General features: G+C 48.1%; 1 protein-coding gene across 22 annotated transcripts in view, besides 4 other annotated features; it reads right to left on the minus strand.

The window, feature by feature from the left end:
• The window catches only part of PLEKHA7 (pleckstrin homology domain containing A7), a 237,118-nt gene extending 229,303 nt beyond the window's left edge, over nucleotides 1-7,815 (minus strand). For all 22 annotated transcript variants that reach the window (XR_007062454.1, XM_047426441.1, NM_001329630.2 and 19 more), the window contains exons 1-3: nucleotides 7,717-7,815; nucleotides 7,526-7,602; nucleotides 7,390-7,447 (exon numbers count right to left, since the gene is read on the minus strand). Coding sequence is in view for 21 of the 22 variants with exons in the window: in XM_047426441.1 (XP_047282397.1) it covers nucleotides 7,390-7,447; nucleotides 7,526-7,602; nucleotides 7,717-7,802 (221 nt within the window). In the remaining variant the exon portion in view is untranslated. The remainder of the gene's footprint in view (nucleotides 1-7,389; nucleotides 7,448-7,525; nucleotides 7,603-7,716) is intronic.
• Nucleotides 5,577-6,338: an enhancer, noted in NCBI's record as "NANOG-H3K4me1 hESC enhancer chr11:17033723-17034484 (GRCh37/hg19 assembly coordinates)". NCBI's record gives its function as "activates a minimal SCP1, AML or CMV promoter by ChIP-STARR-seq in naive H9 embryonic stem cells {active_cell/tissue: H9 hESC(naive)}" and the evidence as "EXISTENCE:reporter gene assay evidence [ECO:0000049][PMID:30033119]".
• Nucleotides 5,577-6,517: a biological region, named in NCBI's record as "Sharpr-MPRA regulatory region 14902".
• Nucleotides 6,223-6,517: a silencer, noted in NCBI's record as "tiled region #14902; K562 Repressive non-DNase unmatched - State 21:Repr". NCBI's record gives its function as "represses a minimal TATA promoter and a strong SV40 promoter by Sharpr-MPRA in K562 cells {active_cell/tissue: K562}" and the evidence as "EXISTENCE:reporter gene assay evidence [ECO:0000049][PMID:27701403]".
• Nucleotides 14,945-15,446: an enhancer, noted in NCBI's record as "OCT4-NANOG-H3K27ac hESC enhancer chr11:17043091-17043592 (GRCh37/hg19 assembly coordinates)". NCBI's record gives its function as "activates a minimal SCP1, AML or CMV promoter by ChIP-STARR-seq in naive H9 embryonic stem cells {active_cell/tissue: H9 hESC(naive)}" and the evidence as "EXISTENCE:reporter gene assay evidence [ECO:0000049][PMID:30033119]".

Consider the following 16,089-nt stretch of genomic DNA (forward strand, 5'->3'; position numbering starts at 1 on the left):
CTGGGTGACACAGCAAGACTCAGTCTCAAAAAAAAAAAAAAAGGAAGATGATATATAAGTGAATCAATAGGTTTGACATTCTACAAGATAAATTTCACTGCCATGAAGTTCAACATTTATCTAGGGAGGAAAATATAGAAGACAGGACAGACTCCTTCCTAGGGGTGGCCCAGAAGACTGTCGGTTGGGTGAGGTCATAATTAAGGGCAGCCTCCTGGGCTGTCCAGTATTCACTGGCTTTCCTAAGGGCCTTCTAGGCCTGGTGTCTACAAAATCCCCAACTGAACATCTGTCACATTTGGTTCATCCTTCACTCTCCAACTCCCTTTGATTTCAGACTAAAAAATGGGTTGCTGAATACAAAACACACACCCTTGATACTTGGCATTATCTCCAGAGGTAACCTTCTGAAGGACTCATGCCTGGTCCCCACTCCCTGCCTCGGAGGACCAGGTTCTTAACTGCCCACTCCCAGCCTCCTGGAGCCCTAAGCCCTGCCTGGGCTCCCTGCTCCTCCCTGCTGCCCAGGGGGGCATGGATACAGGTGCTTGTGCTCTATGGTGTCTTGGAGTGGGGCATGGTGGTGGCAACTCCTAGCATATGAGGTAAATGCACTGATATTCACATTTAAAACATTATATTCTACAATATAGAAATAACTATAAAATTTATGCTAATAATTTAAACTTAATTTTTCTTTATGTAGAATTACATTAAATAGAAAAAAAAATTTTTTTTTTGAGACAGAGTTTTACTCTTGTTGCCTAGGCTGGAGTGCAATGGTGCAATCTTGGCTCACCGCAACCTTCACCTCCTGGGTTCAAGCGTTCCTCCTGGCTCAGCCTCCCAAGTAGCTGGGATTACAGGCACTCGCCACCATGCCCATAAATAGCAATTTTATTTTTTTTTAAATGACAAGTCAAGGGAAAAACTACAGAAGAACAAAATTTTACATTTTAGGATCTCTAAAGATGCTTTTTTTTTTTTTTTTTGAGACAGAGTCTCATTCTGTCGCCCAGGCTGGAGTGCAGTGGCGTGAGCTCAGTTCACGGCAACCTCCGCTTCCCAAGCTCAAGTGATCCTCCCACCTCAGCCTCCCTAATAGCTGGGACTATGGCCATGCACCATCACACCCGGCTAAGTTTTGTATTTTTTGTAAAGATAGGGTTTTACCATGTTGCCCAGGCTAGTCTCAAATTCCTGAGCCCAAGCAATCCTCCTGCTTTGGCCATTCAAAGTGCTGGGATTACTGGGTGTGAACCACCACGCCCGGCCTAAAGATATTCAGTTGGTGCAAAAGTAATTGCAGTTTTTACCATTAAAAGTAATAGCACTAACCGCAATTACATTTGCACCAAGCTAATACTTTTTCCTTCTTTTTCAATAAGGAGCCTTGCATTTTCATTTTACACTGAGGCTCTGCAAATTATGTAGCCAGTCCTGCCCCTAGGACCTGCTTCAGGTCCTAGGGGAGGGGAAAGTTAGCCTTACTCCAAGCCTCAGAAATGTCTTTCCCAGAGTCTAGCTGTCCTCACTTGGGGACAGGCACCCACAAGAAGAAAGTACCTACACAGGGTGGCTCCACACAACCCCAAAGCTAAAACTGAGAAACCTGAAGCTAGAAAGGGTCTTGTGCAATCAGCTGGTTCCTGCCAGCACCCTTGTGCCAAGTCACAGATGATGCCAAGGGCCCAGCAGCCAGGGAAGGAAGACAGCCTAGTCCAGTAGCCAACAGGTATCCCAGTCCCAGATGCAGAGCAATAAGGATATGAAATGAAGACGCAGAGGAGGCCGTTTGAGCCTCCACCAGCCAGCTTCCTGCTTTGAGCATTGTTCTCAACAGCAAGCGACTGTATCCAAGAAGCCTGGGTCTAGGCACCAGCCTTGACAGGCCTGTTCCTGGCTGTTGAGCTTCTCTCACCTTGCTTATTCTCCTCCACCCCAATCTCCTTCCCAGTAAGGAGTTTTCCAAGACCTGGAATACCTAGAAAACTCATTGGGTCTCTTTAAAACACTGATTCCTCAAGAGATGCCAAGTGCCTACTCAGCTCCCAGCCCTGGGCTGGGTGCCTAAGTCACAGAAGTGGGGAATAAGATGCCTGCCTTCAAGGAACAGCCTTGGCACAGGCAAGGTGGCTGAGCCCCTCTTCTCTGCCATCTCCTCATTGCCTCATGACCTATTTAATGCCTGCTGTAGGGGGAACGGAATTCACAAGGTTCCATGAAACCCCTGAAGAGCAGCCCAGTGTAATACTCTAACTCCCATGGCCTCTTCTAGAAACTTCTCCCTCATAGGTCCCATGTTTGAAAAAGCTGTGTCTGCCAAATTGTATTTACTAATAATCAATGTCTTCAATTTCTTACTAATCAGAGACATGTACCACCCCTAATCAACATAGGAGACCAGGGGGTACTGCCCTTCCAAAGTACCTCAATCCCCAGAAAAAGCAAAGATGGAGTCTGGCCCCATAAGCCTTGGGGAAGCCTAACTCAGAGCAATGGCATATGGGCATTCATCTCCTTCAAGATGCATGGCCTGGGGTAGGAGCTACCACTACTACTGTGGCTATCACATGAGGGACCAAAGACCTATGTTCCAGTCCCAGCTCTAACACTTCAGCAAAATCATTGAACCTTCATGGACCTGAGTTTCATCATCTGAAGAATGGGGATGATTCTTCCCCTCCTGCCTCCAGGGGCTGCTATAAGGATCAAATAAGAAAAGACACAAGAAAAAAAACCATCTGCTATAGGAATGTCCAGGATTACGGCAAGATTCTATGTCTGTAAAACGAAACTAGTAGTAGTTCCTACCTCATCAAACTATTGTGAGAATTAAATCAATGACAGTTACAGAACAGTTCCTAGCATTTTTCAAAGACCCAAAAAGATTAGGCTGTTATATAATTATTACTACTATTATTGCTACTTCTGTTAATGACACTATTATCACAATTACTATTATACCTTGCTACCCAGCTAAGGGATTCATAGTAGAGAAGTGCTAGAGTACAAAAAGTCTTCGTTTTATTTATTTATTTATTTATTTATTTACAGACAGGGTCTCACTCTGTCATCCAGGCTGGAGTACAGTATCACAATCATAGCTCATGGTAAACTCAGACTCCTGGGCTCAAGCAATCCTCACACTTAAGCCTCTCAAGTTGCTAGGATTACAGGAGCATACCACCATTAATTTTTTCATTTTTTGTACAGATGAGGCCTCTCCGTGTTGCCCAGGCTGATCTTGAACTCCTGGCCTCAAGTGATCCCCTCGCCTCCGCCTCCCAAAGTGTGGAATTGCAGGCATGAGCCACTATACCCAGCCAAAAAATCTTTTTAAAGGGGTTATCAACATCACTTAGTCTAGAACTGGGAGAACCAACAGTAGATTTCTTATACATTTTGTCCCTCATTAATGCAAAATTGAACAAAAAGTGCAGAAATCAAAACAAAAATTCACCTGCCTAACCTCAAGCTTTTCTGCTTCAAGAAATGGACTCCGAGGCCAGGCACAGTGGCTCATGCCTGTAATCCGAGCACTTTGGGAGGCTGAGGCAGGCGGATCACTTCAGGTCAGGAGTTTGAGACCAGCCTGGCCAACATGGTGAAACCCTGTCTCTACTAAAAATGCAAAAATTAGCCAGTCATGGTTGTGCACACCTGTAGTCCCAGCTACTTAGGGGGTGGCCGAGGCATGAGAATCACTTGAACCCAAGAGGCAGAGGTTGCAGTGAGCTGAGATCGTGCCACTGCACTCCAGCCTGGGCGACAGAGCAAAGCTGTCTTTAAAAAAAAAAAGAAAGAAAAAGAAAAGAAAGAAAAGAAATGGACTCTGGAGAGTATTAAAACATTTGCTGGCCAGGCATGGTGGCCTGCATTTGTAGTTCCAGCTACTTGGGAGGCTGAAGTGAGAGGATCACTTGGCCCCAGGAGTTCAAGGCTGCAGTGAGCTATGATTGCACCACTGCACTCCAGACTAGGAGACAGAGGAAGATTCTGTTTCTTAAAATTTTTTCAAAAATTAAAATGTTTTAATCTGCTAAATATGAGGAGCAACTGAATACATCCTGTAAAACCTCACACAACTTTCCTGTGCAAGGAGCCATTAGGAAAAATAAAATCAGCCATGTCAATGCTTTGTCGCTCTCACTTTATGAGCCAGATTAGAGGAGGCTCCTGCCCTCAACACAAAAATCAAACATTCAGAAATGCTCACGGCAAAGCTAAGAAATCAGACAACAGTAAAACATTTTTCATGTGGGGGGCGGGGGATGAGGGAGAGAACAATTACTCCCAAAACCCTTAAGTCTCTCAAAAAATTGTCACAGAAGGACGTCAGAAGTACAATCACCTGCCACAGGGCCCTGCCTTTGAGGGTAGGGAACACTGTCACACATTGCTTTTTCTAGGCCTGGGAGGAGTCAGCCAAGGCCCTGGGGGCACAGGAGCTCACTGTAGGAAAATCATTAGGGACCTCACAGACAAGTTACCATGGAAGAGTCAGCAAAGGTGTGGAAGGCTGTGCTCCAGCCTCCAGAGTCCCACACGCGGCCTCACACACCCAGCCCAAGGCTGCACCTGGTACTTTGGGACACTTGCAGCCCTTCCTCCCGCCAAATGAATGATGGGCCCTGCCCCTGGGTGACGCTAGTGAGATGCAGGCCATGGATCCCATCCCTCTCACCTTCTTAGAAACACTGCTCCAGCAACTGCCCCGTCTCTTTACTGCAGCATCGACTTCTTCCTCTCAGTGGGATCATTCCCATCAAAACAAACATGCTGTACAATCTCCCACCAAAAAAAAGAACCCTCCCTCAAACCCACATCCTCTCCAATTACCGGCTAATGTCTCAACTCCACTTTGCAACAAAACTACCTGGAAGATTTGCCTAACTGACTCCCTGTCTTCACCCCGTGTTTTATCTTCCACCTACTCCAGTCAGATTTTGTCCTTTAAGGCTTCTGTGACCATGCATTCTCCTGGGGTTTCTCCTACCTTCTCAGTCCTTCTCAGTCTCCTTGCTGGCTTCACCTCTCACCCCTCTAAACACTGCTTTGACCATCCAAAGCCTCAGAACATCTCTCTTCTGTCTGTACTCTCTTCCTAGGGGATTTCATCTAATCCCATGGCCTTGAATAACATCTATTATACCCAATGGGTCTCTTCTGTCCTCTCTCCCCACCAAGCTTCAGATCACACTATCTGACATACTCATATCTCAAATGTAAGATGGCAAAACAAGATCTCATGATTCTCCTCCACCCCAAACCGGCTCTTCCCATCTCAACGATATGAATGCTATCCACTCAGGTGCCCAAGCCCTGAGGAGTCATCTTTGCCTCTTCTCTTTCTCCCACAGACTATTCAGTCCATCATGAAGGTGTGAAGAGCCTATTTCCTAAACACAGCCTGAATGTGACCACTACTCCCTGTCTACTGTGCTACCACCCTCAGGCAAGCCACTTCTAACTCCTGCCTGGAAGAGGGCAACAGCCTCAGCTGCTCTCCTGCCTCCCCCTGCAGTGGCCACCTACAATCCAATCTCCTCACAGTGATCGTTCTAAAAACACACACCAAATCATGCCATTTCCCTGCTTAAAACCCTCCAATGACGTTTCACTGGGCTTAGAATAAAGTATGAAAATTCCTCACCCCGGCTCACAAAGCTTTGCGGCATTTACCTTTCTCCTACCTGTGACCTCTCCTCATGCCACTTTCTCCCTTGTGCACCACATTCCAGCCTTCCTGCTCCTTAAACTCCAAGCTCTTTTCTGCCTTAAGCCCTTGCCCTGGCTGTTCGCTCTTCCCGAAATGCTTTGCCAACTCATCATCACATGATGTCTCCTTCTTGTCATTCAAATTTTACTTTAAATGTTGCCTATTCAGAAACACCATCCCGATCTCCCAGTACAACCAAGCCACCCAGTCACTCCATGTCACATCACCTTATTTTAACTTTCTGCACAGTAGTAACCACGATCTGATATTATTATTTGTGTTTTTTACTTATTTTCTACTCCCTTCCCTCTCCTATTAGATTGCAAGCTCCATGAGCACCTAGAACTTTTCTGTTTTTTGTTCCCAATGCCTAGAACAACGTGTGAACGTGTGGCACACAGGAAAATTGTAATAACATCAACTGATGCAGTTATGAGCCAGAGAGGCCCACTGACAGCAAGACTCTGATGGCCCCAGCCAACTCCCCAACTTCACATACACACATATGAGGCAGGGCAATAGAACCGCAGCAAGGCCCTAGTCCTTAGGTCTGTAAATCTCACCCATCAGTATTTTCAACTATTATGCAAGAACCCAAACCAGAAAAGGAGGTTCCGGGGTTTTCTTGAAATAGGCTGCTTTATTCCTAACAGTAGTAGTTCTGACTCACAGTCGCCGAGGTACACCCAGTCAGTACTAGTCAGACCACCGTCCAGACCTTTGGCGAGCTGATTCATTCAGTGAACAAACATTTACCGAGTGCCTACTTGCTGTCCGGCACTGGGGCAAGGGGTCAAAGGCAGTGTCTGGCCTCCCGGAGCTCAGCAGGCAGAGGGAAACACGCTGCAACACAGACTCCCGCCGGAGTGGGAAAGCAAAGCCTGTACTGGCATAGGAGCCTGACCCGCGCCTTCACTTACTGCGCCCCAATCTGACATGGACTGATCCTACAGACCCAGGGTAACCTGGCTGGTGCGCCAACACTCCGGGGCTTTTGCGGAAAAGTCGCCCGTGGACTAACGGAAGCACCAGCAATCCCCCGGTTCAGCTCCGGCCGAAGAGACGCGGAGCGCTCGAGGAAAGTCATTGGTTGACCAGTTCCCTTCCCCACCCCCTCCCTCCCCGCAGGCCCGCGCAGTGGATGGAGGCCGGGGGCGAGGTTCCGACTCTCCAAGACCATCCCAGAGCCTGCGGCGGGAGAGGGGGCGTCCTCCTAAGCGAGATTCCCCTAGTCTCTCCCTCTCCCCACTCCAACCCCGCAGGCCCACACCAGGACAGAACTTCTCGTTCTACTCCTCCCACCCGAGCCCATCCAGGTCCCGGCACTCGCCTCTCCCGGCGGGGCGCAGCCCCAGACCCTAGAGGGGAGGCGTGCCCAGCCCGCACACCAGCACCCGAATCCAGCCGGATTGCAAGGTCCAGGGCGCAGAGTCTGCGGCCTCTTCCCCCCCGGCCCAGGTCCCCAGCGTAGGTGCGGCCCCCACCGCCTTCCTCTCGGAGGCCGCCAAACAACTTGGGCACACAAAACGTTGAGTGTGGCCGCGGCGCAGCGCGCGCCAACGAGCCCGGGCCGGCGGGAGCAGAGGAAGGGCGGGGCGCCCGGCGGGAACGGGGAGGGACCCCCCCCCCGCGGCACAGGTGCGAGCGCGGCGGCCCCACTCACTCACTCGATGAAGTAGCTGGCGCCCTCCTCCGTGAAGCCCTCCTCCCAGCCGCGGGGCAGGTCTGCGGAAACGCCAGAAAAGTCGGGTCAAACTTGGGCCGCCGCTGCGCGCGCCCCCCACCCGCCGGCCCGGCGCCCACCTGAGCGGATCATGTGGCCCGAGTTGACGGGCTCCCCGGTGCGCGGATGCAGCCAGGTCGTGCAGCGGAGCTGGTCACTGCGGGCAGAGAGGTGCACCTGTTAGCGCCGCCACAGCCCGCCGGGTGCCCGCCCGGCCCCCGCCCCCGCGCCCCCACCCGCGTCCCCGCGTCCCCGGGTCCTCGCGCCGCACTTGATGAAGAAGACGCGGCCATCCCGGCACACCCCGTAGGACCAATGCTCAGGTAAAGTGTCCCGCCCGACCGTCGCCGCCGCCATGTTCGCCGAGCGCGGAGCCGCCGCGGGGTGGGGGGGAGGGGGCGGGGGCGCGGGCAGGGGCGGAGGCGGGGGCGGTGGCGGGGGCTCGGCCTGCGCGTGGCCCGGCGGCGCCGCGAGGCGCTCCATCCAGGCGCGGGCTCCTGAGGGAGCGACCGCCCGGCCGGGTCCTGGCGCCCGGAGTTCGCAGCCGCTCCGGCCAACCCAGCGCAGTGCCCGCGGCCTTTGTCCCCGAGCCTTCCCCGCCCCCAGCCTGCTGGCACCGGCGCTCCCCTTTGCCCCCGAGGCCGGGAGACCCGGGCGGCGCGGGGGGCCGCTGGCGGGGGCCGCTGGCGGGCGCGCCTGGGCAGCTTCGGGGCGCGCGGTTGGACCCGACCAACTCCGAAAACGGCGAGCGCCCGAACGCTCAGTAAACCCCAGCCGACCCGCACCACAGAACTTCCCGACCCGGGAACTCCGCTTGTGTGTGAACCAAGTTAACACTCAGGTTCCTGCCATATTCCCAGCCTCCTTCTCTTCCCCTGTAAGGTTAATCGAGTCCACACGGGATTGTTGTGTAGATTAAATGAAGTAACAATCGCATAAAGTGCTTAACCGGACCATGGCATGTAGTAGGTGCTCTATCAACGGCAGGCCGAGCGCGATTTCATTTTCCCAAGTTTTCAGCTGGGATGTGAAACAGGAGGGAGCAGGGTTACCGCCACACACCACTGAGGTTGCAGGGATCGCAAGCTCTTGCCTTCAGTTTCTGTCAAGTAACAGAAAAAAGGGGTTTTGAGGGCTCGGCAGCACGTCCATCTCTGGAAGAGCGGTGGCCAGGCGGGGCCTCTAGGGGGCCCTGCAAAGCTCTTTGCAGTGGCGGCACCCTCTCATATTCGGGTCTTTACTCCTATCTTATCTCCTCGGGGAGCCCTCCCTGAGCCCTCTGCAAAGAAAATCCTTCCCCTCCTTCCCTCGCTATTTCATTACTTGTTTACATTTAATTGATATTTGTGTTTGTCTTGTTTGTTGTATATTAGTTCCAACATGTCAGCTGGATGAGAGAAGGGGCTTTGATCTACCTCATACACTGCCTGGTCTCCAATGCCTGGAACAGCACCTGACTCATGTATGCATTACGCATTCAATAACTGTAGGATGGGGTGGGGCACGGTGGCTCAGGCCTGTAATCCCAGCACTCTTGGAGGCCGAGGCGGGTGAATCACTTGAGGTCAGGAGTTCTATTCCAGCCTGGCCAACATGGTGAAACCCCGTCTCTACCAAAAAAATACAAAAGCTAGCCGGGCGTGGTGGCGGGCGCCTGTAATCCCAGCTACTCAGGAGGCTGAGGCGGGAAAATCGCTTGAACCAGGGAGGCAGAGGTTGCAGTGAGCCGAGATCGCGCCGCTGCCCTGCAACCTGTGCAACAGCGAGACTCAGTCTAAAAAAAAAAACTGCAGGATGAGTGAATGAAACATACTCCACACTCAGACTCCCGGCCACACACACACACACACACACACACACACACTGAGCAAAGACAGAGCAGCAGCTGGGCTCCAGCTGTTGTCAGGCCCAGCCTTCTCGGGACATAGGCTCTGATTGATGGGAGGAGGCGCGCCTGAAAGTGAGACTGTATGCAATGTGAGCACTAGTTATTCAGAAAGGTGCCCAAACAGGTGGAATTAGGCTGGACCCTGAAGGACTGGTTAGGTTTGACTGGGAAAAGAGCACTCCAGAGGGGAGGGATGGGAGAGCATGCACATAATTTTGGGAGGGCTGTGAGATGTTGATGAGACCATAAAGGGGCCCTTCCTTGGGAACAGACAGTGGTGTTGGGGAAGGAGGCATTTATGAGTTAGAAGAGGTAACTGGTTGCAGAGGACGGGGGACACCTGTCTGAAGGAACCTCCTGCCTCTGAGGAGGTTGTTGAGCAAATGAAAATAGGAAAGCGGTGTTTTGCTAGCTAAACATTGATTTTAAATAATACATTAAATGGGCAAAGGGTATGAACCCACAGTTAATAGAAAAGTAATACAGATAACTTTTAAGCAAATGAAAAGATACTGAGCCACTTCATAATAGAAGAACTGCAACTTACGGTGAAATACTATTTTTTTAGATGTCAGATTGGAAAAGATAAATTAGAAAAGATATTGGCCAGGCGTGGTGGCTCACGCCTGTAATCCCAGCACTTTGGGAGGCTGAGGCGGGTGGATCGCTTGAGATCAGCAATTCGAGACCAGCCTGGCCAACATGGTGAAACCTTGTCTCTACTAAAAACACAAAAATTAACTGGGCATGGTGGTGCATGCCTGTAATCCCAGCTACTTGGGAGGCTGAGGCAGGAGAATCACTTGAACCCTAGAGGTGGAGGTTTCAGTGAGCAGAGATCACGCCACTGCACTCCAGCCTGGGTGACAGAGTGAAACTCTGTCTCATAAAAGAAAGAAAGAAAAGATATTGTAGAGAAAGACATTCTTGTTCATTGTTGATGGGACTTTAAAATGTTTGAGCCTCTTCGAAGGCAATTTGGCACAGCTATTCCAACCTCAATGTCTTGACCTAGCAATTTCATGTCAGGAATTTATCCTACATTAGTGCTTACATGGGGCACAAATTCCAGTGTACTAGAGTATTCACTGCAGCATTGTCAGTAATTACAAAGAACTGGAAATAACCTTAATGTCTATCAAAAAAGACCTGGTTGATTAAACTGGCACATTCCTCAACAACAACAACAACAAAAACAGAATGCTATGCAAGCTGTAAAAAAGAATGAGAATAGATCCCTACGTACTGATATAGAATGGTCTGTAAGATATTAAATGGGCCAGATGCAGTGGCTTGTACCTATAATCCCAGTACTTTGGGAGGCTGAAACATGAGGATGGCTTGAGTCCAGGAATTCAAGACCAGCCTGGGCAACATGGCAAAACTCCATCTCTACAAAAGATACATTAGCCAGGCATGGGGCGCATACCTATAGTTACAGCTACTTGGGAGGCTGAGGTGGGAGGATCACTTGAGCCCTGGAAGTTGAGGCTTCAATGAGCTATGATTGGGCCACTACACTCTATTCTGGGTGACAGAGCAAGACATCATCTCTAAATAAATAAATAAATAAAGTGAAAAGGCAGGCTACAGTACTGTGCATGTGATATGCTACTGTTAACATACAGATATAGTCCCTACACTGTCAAGAATCAGGTAAAGTGATTGCCTCTGAGGAGGGAAACTCTAATAGGAATGGTACGAGATTTACTTTACCTTGTTTCCCCTTTCATACTGTTTGATCTTTTTATCATTTAAAACATATACATATAGATACATAGAATAATACAATTCATTAATAGGTCCAATAAGAGACACACTGAAATTATCTCAATAAATGCCAAAATATGTAATCAATAAAACTCAATGCCTATCACTGATTTTCAAAATTATATGTTAGAAACTAAAATAAAAAATAGTGACAAAAGAGTATGCAGAGAAACTTTATGTCTCATACATTGCTAGTGGGATGTAAAATGGTACAGCCACTCTGAAGAATAGTTTGGCAGTTTCTTTAAAAAGGAAACTTTTTTTTTTTTGAGCCAGAGTCTCACTCTGTCACCCAGGCTGGAGTGCAGCAGCACAATCTCAGCTCACTGCAACCTCTGTCTCCTGGGTTCAAGCAATTCTCCTGCCTCAGCCTCCCGAGTAGCTGGAATCACAGGCATATGCCACCAAGCCCAGCTAATTTTTGTGTTTTTAGCAGAGTCAGGGTTTCACCATGTTGGCCAGGCTGGTCTTGAATTCCTGACCTCAAATGATTCACCCACCTCAGCCTCCCAAAGTGCTGGGATTACAGGTGCAAGCCACTGAGACCAGCCAAAAACTAAACACTTACTTACCATATAACCCAGTATTCACACTCCTAGGCATTTATCCCAGAAAAATGAAACATTTTTCCACATAAAAACTTGTACATAATTATTCACAGCAACTTTACTTGTAATAGGGAAAAACTGGAAATAAGCAAATGTCCTATGATAGGTAAATGGTTAAACAACTGTGATATATCTATACCATGGAATAAAACTCAGTAATGAAAAGGAATTGATACATACAACTTGGATGGATCTCAAGACATTATGTTGAGAAAAAAAAAAAGCCAATCTGAAAAGGTCTATAATGTTCTCAAAATATATTTTTTTTAAATGTAGAGATGGCGAACTGATTATTAGTGGTTGCCAGGAGTTAGGGATGGTGGTGGGGAGTGGGAGGATGTAAGGATGTAACTACAAGGGAATAGCATGAGGGAGATCTTTGTAGTGATGAAATAATTCTATATTTTTCTGGGGTTTTGTGTTTTGTTTTTGTTGTTGTCGTTGTTGTTGTTTTTGAGACAGAGCCTCCTTCTGTCACCCAGACTAAAGTGCTGTGGTACAATCTCGGCTCACTGCAAACTCCACCACCAGGTTTAAGCTATTCTCATGCCTCAGCCCCCCCAAGTAGCTGGGATTACAGGCACACACCACCACGCCTGGCTAATTTTTTTGTATTTTTAGTAGAGCCAGGGTTTCACCATGTTGGCCAGGCTGGTCTTGAACTCCTGGCCTCAAGTGATCCACCCTCCTTGGCCTGCCAAAGTACTAGGATTACAGGCATGAGCCACTGCACTGACCATAATTCTTTATCTTGACTGCAATCATAGTTATACACAAATTGACACTCAAATAAAATAACAGAAGTATATAAACACATTGTATCAATGTCAGTTTCCTGGTTTTGATATTGTTCTGTAGTTTAATAAGATGTAACCATTGGGGGAAACTGAGTGAAGGGTAAACAGAGACCTCTCTATTATCTTTGCAAATTCATGTGTCTATAATTATCTCAAAATTAAAAATTATTTTAAAATGTGTTAGAAAATTACAAATAACCAAATGTTTCTTTTGAGAGTATCTCTCTTAGACAAACAGAAACATTCTTTAACAATGAAACATTAAAGACCAAAGATCATATGGCTAGTTATGTAACATAGACCAGACTCCAACACCTGTCCAGGGCCCTTTCCAGCCTAATTATCTCAGGACAAAGCACCATCAACTGTGATAATAGGCACTTTTTGTACAGAGGCTCTTTCTCTTGATTGGCCCTGGTGAAGGACTTTATTTTACACTAGATGCTCGTGATGTACATGGCACTAAGCCATCAACTTAAATGCAAAATAGTCCATGTTCAGAAATAAATCAAAATGTGATTCAGTCAACCAAACATGTGCCCAGGAATTTTCAGCTTCCGGGTAACCAATAATTCGTTACTCTCTTGTAAAAAGTCTCCTTTACTCTCAAGGAGACAGCATGGCATGATGGAAGAGCATGGCCTTTGGGGTCAAACAGATCTGGGTTGGACTCAGGGTGCTGCCCTCTCACTAAGTTCTGTGACCTTGGACACACCACATATCCTTATTTATTGAACATCTGTTGGTAGTAGATACTACAACATTCTAGCACTTCAATGGTCTATACACCATGGTCCCCACCCTAGGGCGTTCTCAGTATTGTGGAGAAGTGGATGCTTTAAATGCTGGAAGACAAGAGCTGCTCTGGAGCAAGCAGGGTTGGGGGTGGAGGAACACTGCAGGTACCTGAGGATAGAACACAATCAATGACTCCAACCTGAAGATAGAACACCCAGCATAGTCCTTGATGTTAGCCCCGCTCCTTTCCCACCTGCGATGGTGGTTGTAAAACTAGCCCTATACATTATATTTTTTAAAAAATAAATGTTTTTTGAGACAGTCTCACTCTGTTGCCTAGGCCGGAGTGCAGCAGCAAGATAACGGCTCATTGCAGCCCAGGCTCCTAAGTTCAAGTGATCCTCCCATCTCAGCCTCCTGAGTAGCTGGGTCTACATGTGGGTGCCACCACATCCAGCTAATTTTTGTATTTGTTGAAGAGACAGGGTTTTGCCATGTTGCCCAGGCTGCTCTCAAATTCTTGAGCTCAAGCGATCTGCCCGCCTCAGCCTCCTAAAGTTTTGGGATTATAGGTGTCAGCCACTGTGTGAGGCCTATAAAATTAATTATTGTTATTATTTTTTTCAGATGGAGTTTCACTCTTGTTGCCCAAGCTAGAGTGCAGTGGCACAATCTCGGCTCAATGCAACCTCCGCCTCCAGAGTTCAAGCAATTCTCCTGCCTCAGCCTCCCGAGTAGCTGGGATTACAGGCAAGTGCCACCATGCCAGGCTAATTTTGTATTTTTAGTAGAGACAGGGTTTCTCCATGTTGGTCAGGCTGGTCTCGAATTCCCGACCTCAGGTGATCCACCCGCCTTGGTCTCCCAAAGTGCTGGGATTACAGGCATGAGCCACTGCGCCTGGCCAAAATTAATTTTTAAAAAGATGAGAAAGAAAAACAAACCAATTGGTAGTCCACTCAGTATGAATCATGAGATCAACTTGTTCTCTGACCTGCTTCTTCATAGTTATTTGGTGTCTATTGTTCTGGAATCACATAGACCCTGGACTGTAGACCCTGGAATCACATAGACCCTGGACTATAATGTTTATAGACAACTTAAACATTATAAAATGTTAAGTTTTTCCTTTGAAATAGTACTTCAGGTCCTACATACTAATAAAACTACTGACTCTACTGGTCTGAAGGACCCCATGAAGAGCTGACTCACCAAAGAATGCAGTTTCCACATCCTGAGCTTTTCATCCCCCCCGTGCCCAACCAGTCAATGTCTTCAGTTTTCCAGCCCCTCACCCTCCACAATCCCCTTAAAAGCTCCAGCCCAAAACTCCACAAAAAAATAAATTTGAGGGTCTCCTCCTGTCTCCTCACTTGTCACCCTGCAATCATTAAACTCGTTCTCCACTACATCCCTGCTGTCTCAGTGTAATTGTTCTATTACTACACAACAGACATACTACACAACACACATACTACACAACAGACATACATACACAACATTTGGTCCTAAAGCGGTAGGGAGCAGGCAGCATCCATACAAGACGTTCACAGGTCCCAGAGCAGTGAAAGGACCCCACAAGGTCAGCTAAGGTTTCTTCATCTCTCACCCTTGTTCCCACCACCATGCTATTCTCTGTGCCTCTGACGTAATCACCCTCTGCCTTTATATTTTCATTTAAAAACTTTCTCTTAAGCATCTACTTTGTGTCAGTCCCGTAGTAGGAGACAATGTAAGCAAAGAGAGATAGCAGGAAAATAAACCATTAGAGTTCTCCAGAGAACAGAACCAATTGAGAGATTTATTATAAGGAATTCACTCACGTGATTCTGGAAGCCGATACGATCTGCAGTAGGCACGCTAGAGACCCAGCAGAGCCAATGGTGCAATTCCTACCCTCAGGCCAGGAAAAAAACCTCACATCCCAGCTTGCAGGCAGTCAGGCAGGAGGAATTCCCTTTTATTTGGGAAAGGGTCAGCCTTTCATTCTATTCAGACTTTCAGCTGATCGGTGGGCCCCCCAACATGCGCGCATCAGAGAGATCAATCTGCTTTACTTAGTCTCTTGATTTAAATGTTAAACTCGGCCATGTGAGCGCGGTGGCTCATGCCTGTAATGCTAGCACTTTGGGAAGTGGAAGCAGGTGGATGGCTTGTGCTCAGGAGTTCAAGGCCAGCCTGGGCAATGTGGCAAAACCCTGTCTCCACAAAAACAAAACAAAACAAAAAAATTAGCTGGGCGTGGTGGCATGTACCTGTAGTCCCAGCTACTTGGGAGGCTGAGGTGGGAGATTGCCTGAGCCTGGGAGGTTGAGACTGCAGTGAGCTGAGATCATGCCTCTGCACTCCAGCCTGGGCAACAGAGTGAGACCCTATCTCAAAAAAATAATGGTTAAAAAATTGAAAAAATGTTAAACTCATTTAAAACACCCTGACAGAAATGCCCAGTGTAATGTTTGACAAAATACCTGGGTATCCCGTGGCCTACTCCTGTTGATACATAAAATTAACCGTCACAGTAAGACACAGTCCCTTCCTCTTGGGGGTCTCTGGTATAGCAACAAGTAGTACCTTGCTGCTCTCAAATTAGAGAGGGCTTTCCAGGAAGAACGGAAGCCACCTGCCCATGAGCCTTCTGCCTTGTAACTTCAGATGAGGACTGCTTGTCCCCCCAGCCCCAGACTTTCAGTTCCCAACCCCCCAGCCTGTTTGCAGCACTGCCAGCTCAGGGGCTGCATCCCCTTTCCTTTTTGGTTCAGCCAAGAAGCCCACTCTCCCTGACACTTTTTCTCTTTTTAATTCTAATTTTCATTTTACAATCTGTGGAAGAGTTGCAAGTATAG

Source organism: Homo sapiens, chromosome 11 (genome assembly GCF_000001405.40).
Source record: "Homo sapiens chromosome 11, GRCh38.p14 Primary Assembly".
NCBI classification, from domain to species: Eukaryota; Metazoa; Chordata; class Mammalia; order Primates; family Hominidae; genus Homo; species Homo sapiens.